The sequence below is a fragment of the Homo sapiens genome, chromosome 4 (assembly GCF_000001405.40).
Source record: "Homo sapiens chromosome 4, GRCh38.p14 Primary Assembly".
NCBI classification, from domain to species: Eukaryota; Metazoa; Chordata; class Mammalia; order Primates; family Hominidae; genus Homo; species Homo sapiens.
Genome location: NC_000004.12, coordinates 188077877 through 188089914, shown reverse-complemented (window position 1 = coordinate 188089914; position 12038 = coordinate 188077877). Strand labels below are relative to the sequence as shown.

General features: G+C 43.0%; 1 annotated feature.

Moving 5' to 3' along the window:
• Nucleotides 8111-8692: an enhancer, noted in NCBI's record as "H3K27ac hESC enhancer chr4:189002377-189002958 (GRCh37/hg19 assembly coordinates)". NCBI's record gives its function as "activates a minimal SCP1, AML or CMV promoter by ChIP-STARR-seq in naive H9 embryonic stem cells {active_cell/tissue: H9 hESC(naive)}" and the evidence as "EXISTENCE:reporter gene assay evidence [ECO:0000049][PMID:30033119]".

Genomic DNA, 12038 nt, shown 5'->3' with positions numbered 1-12038 from the left:
ACTCATGGGAGTCAAGGAAGATGTAGGATCTTGCTTACCTATCTTTTGGGGAGACATTTTTGACCATTTCGAATTCTCAAAATGTGCTTTTAAAAGATGTGAATAAGGCCGGGCGCGGTGGCTCAATCCTGTAATCCCTGCATTTTGGGAGGCCGAGGCATGCGGATCATGAGGTCAGGAGGTTGAGACCATCCTGGCTAACATGGTGAAACCCCGTCTCTAATAAAAATACAAAAACTTAGCCGGGCATGGTGGCGGGCGCCTGTAGTCCCAGCTACTTGGGAGGCTAAGGCAGGAGAATGGCGTGAACCCAAGAGGCGGAGCTTGCAGTGAGCTGAGATCACACCACTGCACTCCAGCCTAGGCAACAGAGTGAGACTCTGTCTCAAAAAAAAAAAAAAAAAAGATGTGAATAAGTATATTCTGGTAAAGATATACACTTGGAAAAGTCACAATACATCTTGTTGCTGAATCACATGGAGAATTGGGGGAAATGGCTCTATTGGAAAAGTCAGGGTCAGGTCAGATAAGTGAGCTGGAAGTGAGACAATTATTTGAAACACTGGGATGAAGAATTCAGAGCAGACCGAGCGCGATGCCTCACGCCTGTAATCCCAGCACTATGGGAGGCTGAGGCCGGCAGATCACGAGGTCCGGAGATCGAGACCATCGTGGCCAACATGGTGAAACCCTGTCTCTACTAAGATACAAAATGTTAGCCAGAGGTTGTGGTGCACCCCTGTAGTCCCAGCTACTTGAGAGGCTGAGGCAGGGGAATCGCTTGAACCCAAGCGATTCAGTAGAGGTAGAGGTTGCAGTGAGCTGAGATTGCACCACTGCACTGCACCCCAGCCTGGCAACAGAGCAAGATTCTGTCTCAAAAAAATAAAAATAAAAAAAAGAATTCAGAGCAATGGCTCTCAAACCCTTACCTAATTTTTTAAGAAAATATGATGATGACTCATAAAGGGAAATGTGAGATGATTTAGCAATAAATGTATAATTAATGTTCAAAACCCAGTAATAGACATCTCCATGTCTAGCTACTGCAAATTTCAAGCTAAGATAAATACTTTGGATCAAACATTGCTATACAACCCACAACATAAAAATAAAATTGTTTATAATAAGCTAGACCATGTCTGGAGCAATTTTTTAGTTGTCACCAGAAGAGCCGTGCCACCGGAATCTGGTGAATAGAGGCCAGTGATGCTGCAGTATATCCTGCGATGGACAGCGCAGCCTGACGCACAAAGAATCATTCAGCTCAAAACATAGTAGTGCTGAGGCTGACAAACCCTGACCTAGACCAACAATAATAGCAAAAAACGAGGGTAGCAAACTGAAAAATCAGAGAACGTTGTTAAACCATTATCAGCATTCTTTCTCCAAAGTGCAGGAATTCCTAATGTACCCATGTAGTGAGGGCTTTCCAAGTTTTATCTATCTATTTATTTATTTACTTACTTATTTATTTTTCTGTTGCCCAGACTGGAGTGCAATGGCATGATCTTGGCTCACTGCAACCTCCAACTCCAGAGTTCAAAGGATTCTCCTGCCTCAGCCTCCCAAGTAGCTGGGATTACAGGTGCCCACCAACACAGCTGGCTAATTTTTGTATTCTTATAGAGATGAGATTTCACCATATTCGTCAGGCTGCAGGTTATTTGTTAACAGCTAATTATCTTCGAATATTGAATTTAAGACAGAGAAAATTAATATATTGAAATTACCTTGTGAATATCATAATAATAACTAAGTTATTAGTTAAATATTTTGGTCATAATTCTATACATTTTCATCTGTTTTTTTTCTTTTCAGATGGAGTCTCACTCTGTCGCCCAGGCTGGAGTGCAGTGGCGCGATCTCAGCTCACTGCAACCTCCGCCTCCTGGGTTCAAGCGATTCTCCTGCCTCCGCCTCCTGAGTAGCTGGGATTACAGGCATGTGCCACCGTGCCCAGCTAATTTTTTGTATTTTCAATAGAGATGGGGTTTCACCATGTTAGCCAGGATAGTCTCCATCTCCTGACCTCATGATCCACCCACCTTGGCCTCCCAAAGTGCTGGGATTACAGGCATGAGCCACTTCGCCCAGCCTTTCATCCATATTTTTAAAAAATGCATTCATAATGTCCAAAAACTCCAATTCCAACTAGTTCTACATCCTGCAAGACCCCCTTTGAACCTTCCAACCCAGACCCTGTGTCTTTCCCCTCTTTCTCCATCTGACACACTGATAAGACTGTCAGGTTGTGTGCTTATGACAGAGAGCCTGACTCTGTCAAAGCTCTAAAGCTTTGTTCGATCAACAGGATTTTCGGATGATCAATCTTTCAAGGAGCCCAGCAGTCAACATTTCTCATCTTTTGAGCAACAAATTGCAAATTCACCTTCACCTATTCTTTCTCCTTTCTTCTGTCTTGCAATAAACCAATTTTTTCCTACCTTGTATTTCCTCCAAATTCCTGAGGGCTTTTAGGAAATCCTCACCTGGAGATCAGGGCTTGGCAAACTTTTTCTGTAAAAAACTAGGTAATTAATATCTTAGACTTTATTGGTCGTACTGTCCCTCTTGAAACTAACTCTGCTGCTCTAGTGCATACACAGCCAGGACAGTGCTTACATTAATGCATGTGGCTCTACTCTTCCAATAAAACTTTATAAAAACAGGGGCCACAGTTTGCCTACCCCTGCTATAGGTGATTCGTTTTCTCTTTTCAATATTGAAACTATTCCTCAATCAGGACCTTCTAAAATTAACTTTTAAAAAGCTAATGTAGGCCAGACGTGGTGGTTCCTTCTGTAATATGAACACTTCAGCAGGCCCAGGCAGTATGACACCTTGAGGCCAAGGCTTTGCGACCAGCCTGGGCAACACAGGGAGACATTGTCTCTACAAAAGATAAATTAGCTGGGCATGGTGGCTTGCACCTGTGGTCCCAGCTACAGGGAAGAGTGAGGTGGGAGGATCACTTGATCCCAGAAGTTCGAGGCTACAGTGAGCTATGATTGCACCATTGCACTCCAGCCTGGGCGACAGAGCGAGATGTTGTCTCCAAAAAAAAAAAAAAAAGACTATATCTCCCTTTTTTTTTTTTTTTTTTTTTTTTTTGAGACGGAGTCTCGCTCTGTCACCCAGGCTGGGGTGCAGTGGCGTGATCTCGGCTCACTGCAACCTCCTTCTCCTGGGTTCAAGCAATTCTGCCTCAGCCTCCTGAGTAGCTAGGTTTACAGCCATGTGCCTCCACGCCCGGCTAGTTTTTGTATTTTTAGTACAGATGGGGTTTCACCATATAGGCCAGGCTGGTCTCGAACTCCTGACCTCGTGATCCGCCCGCCTCGGCCTCCCAAATGCACTCTGGTGTGTGTGTTGGTTTATGCTATCCATTCCTGTGTTCAGTCCAATTTGCTTTCTGTCTCTTTCTGCCTACAGGTCTTAATCGCTTCCATATTGCTAAATCCAACTGATTTTATTTTATGTATTTATTTTTTTTTGAGGTGGAGTTTCGTTCTTGTTTCCCAGGCTGGAGTGCAATGGTGCAATCTCGGCTCACCACAATCTCTGCCTCTCGGATGCAAGTGATTCTCCTGCCTCAGCCTCCCAGGAAGCTGGGATTACAGGCATGTGCCACCATGCTCAGCTAATTTTGTATTTTTAGTAGAGATGGGGTTTCTCCATGTTGGTCAGGCTAGTCTCAAACTCCCGACCTCAGGTGATCCATCTGCCTCAGCCTCCAGAAGTGCTGGGATTATAGGTGTAAGCCACCACACCCGGCCACTTCCATTTCATATTACTCAAGCTCTCAGAAGTAGTCAATGCTATTAATCTCTTTATCCTTAATATATTCTTCCTTGACCTATAGGATGTGCACTGTCCTCATTTTCCTACCATTGTGCCAAATGCATCTTTCCTTTTAAATATGTAGTAAATACTTCATGTTCCTTCCTAGGATCTCACTTCTCATTCACTTCTAAGTGAACCTCATATCCACAGCCAAAACTATCAACTCCTCAGCAGTGACCCCTAAATGTATACAGTTAAGTGTTGCATAATAGTGTTTTGGTCAATGATAGATCATATATATGATGGTGGTCCCACAAGATTACAATACTATATTTTTACTGTACCTTTTCTATGTTTAGATACACAAAACCATTGTGTTACAGTATGCAGTCCAGTAACCTGCTGTACAGGTTTGTAGCCTAGAGAGGGCAACAGGCTACACCATATAGCCTAGGGGGCAACAGGCTACACCATATAGCCTAGGGGGCAACAGGCTACACCATATAGCCTAGGCGGGCAACAGGCTACACCACATAGCCTAGGGGGGCAACAGGCTACACCACACAGCCTAGGGGGGCAACAGGCTACACCATATAGCCTAGGGGGCAACAGGCTACACCATATAGCCTAGGGGGGCAACAGGCTACACCATATAGCCTAGGCGGGCAACAGGCTACACCATATAGCCTAGGCGGGCAACAGGCTACACCATATAGCCTAGGGGGGCAACAGGCTACACCATATAGCCTAGGGGGGCAACAGGCTACACCATATAGCCCAGGGGGACAACAGGCTACACTATACCATATGGCCTAGGGGTGCAGCAGGCAGTGCCATTCAGGTGTGTGTAAGTACACTGACATTTGCACAAGGACAAATCGCCTAAGGATGCATTTCTCAGGAACTGGGGAGACACACACATGATTGTACTTCTAACCCATGAGTTCAATTGGTAAAAATCGGTTCATGAGAGGTGAAAAAAGTCTTATATATTACTGTGGCTAGGGCCCTCCAAAAGAGCCCAGTCCATAAACATATGCAGTATGTATGTGGTAGTAAAATTTCATGAGGGAGGAAGTGATTAAGGAAAAAAGTCCAAAAAATCTGTAGACGGTCTGGTAGAAAAAGATCATCTCAAAGGTTTTCATTTTATAGCCTTGTGGGGTTTTAACCAGTTTTGTATCTAATGTAACGAAAATGTTGAGAGACATTGCTCTACCCCTAAGTTTTTTTTTGAGACAGAGTCTTGTTCTGTCGCCAGGCTGGAGTGCAATGGCGCAATCTCGGCTCACTGCAACCTCCGCCTCCTGGGTTTAAGCGATTCTCCTGCCTCAGCCTCCCGAGTTGCTGGGACTACTGGCGCCCGCCACCACGCCTGGCTAGTTTTTTGTATTTTTTAGTAGAGACGCGGTTTCACCATAGTGGCCAGGCTGGTCTCAAACTCCTGACCTCGTGATCCGCCCACCTCAGCCTCCCATAATGCTTGGATTGCAGGCGTCAGCCACCACGCCCGGCCCACGTGTTTCTTTTTTTTCTTTTCTTTTTTTTTTTTGAGATGGAGTCTCGCTCTGTCCCCAGGCTGGCGTGCAGTGGCACGATCTCGGCTCACTGCAAGCTCCGCCTCCCGGGTTTACGCCATTCTCCTGCCTCAGCCTCCCGAGTAGTTGGGACTACAGGCGCCTGCCACCAAGCCTGGCTAATTTCCTCTATTTTTAGTAGAGACAGGGTTTCACCATCTTGGCCAGGTTGGTCTCGAACTCCTGACCTCGTGATCCGCCCGCCTCGGCCTCCCAAAGTGCTGGGATTACAGGTGTGAGCCACCGCACCCGGCTGACCTGAGAAGTTTTTATAAATCCTAATATCTAAACCATATCTCCACAAGAATTATATCAGAATCTTTGGGGTTGAAAACTAGGCATCATTTTTTTTCAAAGCTCCTTAGTTGATTACAATATCCAACCAAGACAAACAGCAAAGTTGGCAGAAGCAAGAAATAGAAAACAACAGGCGGTTTGTTCAGTGGCTCTGGTGTAGTGTACGGTTTACTGTTTAAATGTAAAAATGTGTTGATGGTGCTAGGGATTAGTTATAATGAAACAGCTGTATTAGGAAGATTGTTAATTGGGCAAAGTATAATTGGAAGTAGCTTTAAGAAGTGATAAGTGGGCTGGGCGCAGTGGCTCATGCCTGTAATCCCAGCACTTTGGGAGGTCAAGGCAGGCAGATCACAAGGTCAGGAATTTAAGACCAGCCTGACCAATATGGTGAAACCCCGTCTCTATTTAAAAAATACAAAAATTAACTGGGCATCATGGTTCACGCCTGTAGTCCCAGCTACTCGGGAGGCTGAGGCAGGAGAATCGCTTGAACCCGGAAGGCAGAGGTTGCAGTGAGCTAAGATCACGCTATTGTACTCCAGCCTGGGCTACAGAGCAAGACTCCATCTCAAAAAAAAAATAAATAAATAAAAGCGGTAAGTGGCCAGGCATGGTGACTCACATCTGTAATCTCAGCATTTTGGGAGGCCAAGGCAGGAGGATCACCTGAGTCCAGGAGTTCCAGACCAGCCTGGGCAACAAGGCGAGATCTTGTCTCTACAAAAAATACAGAAATTAGCCTGGCATGGTGGCACACACCTGTAGTCCCAGATACTCAGGAGGCTGCGGTGGGAGGATCACTTGAACCTGGGAGATCGACGCTGCAGTGAGCCAAGAGCAAGTCACTGCACTCCAGCCTAGGTGACAGAGCAAAACCCTGTCTCAAAAAAAAAAAAAAAAGAAAGTGTAAGAGTTGGATATTTGAGCTAAGTAGACCTAGGAAGCCTTTGGCCAGTGGGGCCTCCAGTGCTATGGAACGCCTGGGATTACCTCACTACACTGAAAAGATGTCTCTGTATTTGTATATGGTAAATGTACCTTGGACAACAAATGTATCAATAAAGTAGAATATCTAGTTTTGTTCTGTAGTTATAACTTGGAAAAAGTGCTCTTACATGTGCAGGGATGTCAAGCTGTGAGTTTTTTTATAGCCAAATGACGAATACATTTCTGGGTTAAGGATTAGCGGGAGAGGCTCAGGAAATCTCACAGCTCATAGGAATCTAGACCAGCTCCTTCTGTCTTCAATGGAAAGGCAGGGCAGTCAGCTTGAAATAGTCTGTGTAGGGCTGAAAGAAGGAGAGAGGTAAGTGACCTCACTGCAGTTAATTTTTTGATCTTGCACAAAGCAGGAAAAGGAATTACAGGATAGAGAGGAGATAAGAATTCACAGGGAATAAGGAAGGAATTTGAAGCTTTGATTTTTCGGATTTTCTGACTGGAATGTGATAAATATTATCAATGGTACATGGAAGTTAAAAAACACGTAGGTGGGTAACGGCAAAACATGGGTAAATTTGCATTTCAGTTATGCCTCGACAAATTGGAACATATATAAGAGAATGAGACTTTTGACCTGGAAAAAATCAAGTATGAGATTGGAAATTTAACCTCACATGAGAAGAAGGAATTCTCTGTAATGATAGATGGATGTGGTAGAATGATAAATAGAAAGGATGTAAATGTAAATATTGCTTCTCCTTTCAAAATAGCAATTTCAGTTTGTCGTACATTTGCTACCTGCCAGGGAAGGTTCAGAATGCTTTCTATGACCTCATCTACCCTAAGTGGCAGTACTTTTTTTTTTTAACTGAGTCAGAAATAGAGCCAATACATTCAAAATCTCCAGAGAGTGATATTCAGACTCTTGAAACCTGGGCTGTTTATTCTTTCCAACCACACAAATTGTATCTCGTTAAAAGTATTTGCAGACAGATAACAGGCTCACTGGAGGGGAGAGTTGGGGAAGTCGAGGCCTGGCAAAGATGTGGAAGTGAGGTTCACATTACTCAAAGGAAGCCGTTGATGGAAACTTAAAATTATTTTCAAAAAGTGTATTTATGTAAAATAAAATTTTTAATTAAAAAACAGGTTAAAACCAGGCTGGGTGCAGTGGCTCATGCCTGTAATCCCAGCATTTTGGGAGGCCGAGGCAGGTGGATCACGAGGTCCGGAGTTCAAGACCAGCCTGACCAATATGGTGAAACCCCGTCTCTACTAAAAATACAAACATTGGCCGGGCGCAGTGGCTCACGTCTGTAATCCCAACACTTTGGGAGGCCGAGACAGGCAGATCACGAGGTCAGGAGATTGAGACCATCCTGGCTAACATGGTGAAACCCCGTCTCTACTAAAAATACAAAAAATTATCCGGGCGTGGTGGCGGGCGCCTGTAGTCCCAGCTACTCTGGAGGCTGAGGCAGGAGAATCGCTTGAACCCAAGAGGTGGAGGTTGCAGTGAGCCAAGATCACGCCACTGCACTCCACCCTGGGCGACAGAACGAGACTGTCTCAAAAAAAAAAAAAAAAGTTAAAACTATGTGAATAAGCTTTTCCCCTCCCTAACCGTTTTAGTGAGCTTTGTGTTTATCCCAGCACTCTCTGGTCAGCTAGATTACCCTGTTTTGTGTGTCTGTCTTATTTCAGATAGGAGAACTATGTGGTCATTCCAGATACTCAGAGATACAAGAGAACTTTGTATTTGAAAAAGAGGGTGGAGGTAAAAGCTCCTGTTGCAATCTTCTTAATGGTTATCATTGTTCTTTGGCCTGTGGAATTTCTGAAGCTAAAAGCTGTTCCTACATTGGATGTTAACATTCAGAGCTTCAGATAGGAGTGAGCTATAGTCCAGGAACTGTCCATGTCAATTTCCCCTGAGAATGTGCTGTCCCTATCTTCATTGTGGAGTTAGATTGCTTGTATGGAGGGAAAAGGAGAAATAGAATTCGTTTCCTAGGTCTACAGTGATGTAGGGAACATGCTTCACCCCTTTAGCCCGAAATCTCTTCCCAAATACTTATAAAAAAGACGTGTGAATGTTCATCAAGAATGTCTTCCCCACCCTGCCTGTGTTTTTATTGATTTCTTGGGGTAATTTAATTGGCTTTATGGGTAGAGCTGAATTAATGTGGAGTCGTAGTCAATGATGAATTGCTTGATAAAAATGAAAACCTATTTCCTCAATTTAGTTCTCTTCATCCTTCTGAATTACTACATTAGCTTCCCTTCTTGCCTGCGATTATAAACACAGCCAGGCTTTAATAAAGGGCCTCCTAAGCCCGCCTCAGCATCCTTTCTTCCTCACTTCTTTGCCACGTTTCTCCATAGCTTCAGTCAGAGCCAACTAGATTCCCAAATGTGCCACCCTCGCAGGCACCCCGTGCATTCTAAAAGCTTCAGGGGCTCATTCTGACAGCACAGACTTTGGAGCCATCCTTTATTTTGCTGCCATTCTGTGTTCAATCTATCAGCAAAGACTGTCAGCTCTACCATCCATATATGTCCCTCAGCAAACACTCGCCATCCTCCCTTTGACCACACTAGTTGAGGCTGTGATCTTTCATCTGGACCGCAGTGCTAGGCTCCAGCTGGCTGCCACCACACAGGCCTTTCTTGATCTGTCCTCCACAAAGAGCGCCCTCCCTGAACATTCTCTCCAATCCCCACTCATTCTCTTACCTCTTACCCTACATTATTTTCTTTGTAGCATTAATCATGACCTGATTTAACATTATGTATTTAACTTCCTGTCTGGAATGGAAACCCCATGATGGCAAAGGCGTTAAATGAATGAACAAGAAACCCAGAAAGTGTTTATTAAACAATCCCTGTATGTCGGGTATTTGCCTTACCTGAAGGAACAAAACAAAGATCTCAGCATTAATGAACAGATGAGGAAGCTTGATTTTGAAGTTTCACAGGACAATTTTATCTAAAAAACTCTACAAATTAGCTTTTGTTTGTTTTTGTTTTTTGTTTTGTCGAACTGATGGCTACTTAATCAAGCAGCTTCTCTAGTATGCCTATAATATTTCATCATGACCCAGCAACCATTAAGTTTTGCCAAGGATGTCTCCTGAGTACAGGAAAGCAAAGAGGTGAAGGAATTAGCAAAGTGATGGTGAATGGGAAAATTCCCAGGACGACAGCATCAGTTGGCCCTAATTAGAACAAAAGGTGGAAGATTCACAGAAGGGTACCTTGAAGGAAAAAATAAATAGAATTGATTATTTCCTAGCCGTTTGGCTATGTCAAGAAAAGCTTTATAGCTCCATAGGACAGTATAAGGGATGAATCTGTGTTTGGTACACTAGGAAAAAAAAACTAAATATATATAGAGAGAACTGTTAACTCCATAAAAAACAAAGGTGTTGATGGCTTAATAAAATGTTGCTTTGACTATATTGGAATGAGGTGGCAGGGAAGTTATCTGTAGCAAGTAAAAGGTAAAAGATAATCCTTCTTTCTTTCTCTTTTCTTTCTTTTTTTTTTTCTTTTCTTTCGACAGGGTCTCACCCTGTTACCCAGGCTGGAGTGCAGTGGCACAGTCATTCTGCCCATTCTGCAGCCTTGAATTCCTGGACTCAAGGGATTCTTCTACCACAGCTTCCCAAGTAGCGTGGACTACAGGCTTGCACCGCCACGCCCAGCTAATTGTTTACCTTTTTGTAGAGATGGTGTCTTGCTCTGTTGCCCAGGCTGGTCTCAAACTTCTGGACTCAAGCAGTCCTCCACCTTGGCTTCCCAAAGTGCTGGGATTACAGGTGTGAGTCACTGCAACTGGCCAATCTTTCCAATTTAGATTTCTATTTCCAATTTCTATTTCTAAGGAAATAGAAATAGAATGCCTCATTCTGTTTCTTATAGAATATACATGATATTCCTTAACTTAAATGAAAGATGAGGGAATATCATGCATATTCTATAAGAAAGAACTGAGAGTTGGACATGACTGTATCTAGATAGCCGGAATGGGGGAGAAGAGAGGATTTTTTTTTTTTAATTATAAACCTTCGAGCACTTTTTGATCTTTGGTACTAAAATATATGTATTATTTTGGTGAATTAAATTAAATTCAAAACAATGGATAATGGATAAATGATGAATTGTGTTTCTATTAAAAGCGAAGAAAATTTTAGTGTCAGAGGTTACTAGGAATGTCAGATTATTTCAATGACAATTATAATATAAGGGATTTTTTTTTTTTTTGAGACAGAGTTTTGCTCGCTCTTGTCACCCAGGCTGGAGTGCAGTGGTGTGATCTTGGCTCACTGCAACCTCTGCCTCCCAGGTTCAAGCAGTTCTCCTGCCTCAGCCTCCCGAGTAGCTGGGATTACAGGTGCCTGCCACCACATCCAGCTAATTTTTGTATTTTTAGTAGAGACGGGGTTTCACCTTGTTGGCCAGGCTGGTCTCAAACTCCTGACCTCAGGTGAACTGCCCATCTCGGCCGCCCAAAGTGCTGAGATTATAGGTGTGAGCCACCGCAACCAGCCAATATAAGGGGTTTTTTCAAAGGTATATTGACTAAGGTGTTATGAAGATTTTTAGCTCTCAGGAGAAAATCTATATACTAACAGAGAAAGGCCCCCCAAAAAAGTAATATAATAAGGAAAACCTTACTAATTGAACAAGGAAAATAAGGAGATGCTAGCCAATAAGAGACAAGTCATTGAAGACCTGGGAAATTAACAGACAAGCTTGAATTCTGGGCAAATAAAGTGAAAATTTGGTGAAAATAAATCAATAGATTATTGCAATTGCTCCAAGTTTGCAGAAGTTGGCATACTTATGATAAAGTTAATAAAGTGAAAACAGTCTAATATAGAAAATTATTCTTGTAATAACAAAACTTAAAAAAAAGAGAAAGAAAGAAAGAATGACATGGAGCTATTCCAACTGGCCATGGTCCAGAGGCCGGTAATCAGCCACTGGTTATTTAGTGAGTGCTTTTGTCCTCCAGCAATACTCAAATGTTTCCCTAAACTTGTGTCTAACTAAACATTTGGCTTCCTAGGCTAATGGTTTCCTGGATTAATAGCTGTACAAAATTGTGAGCAATTGTTTGAATTGTGAATGGATGGAAATTGTTTTGAATACTTAAAATTAATGGACTACAGTCATATGCTGCCTAATGACGGCTCCAGTCAACTGCGGACATATACGACGGTGGTCTCATGAGATTATAATACTGTATTTTTACTGTGCTTCTTCCAGGTTTAGAAACACAAATATTTACATTGTGTTACAGCTGCCTACATATGTAAAATAAAATTTTCAGCCTACATTTTCAGTACAGTCATATGCTGGACAGGTTTGTACCTAGGAGCAATAGGCTGTACCAAATAATCTAGGTGTGTTAGGAGGCTACACCAT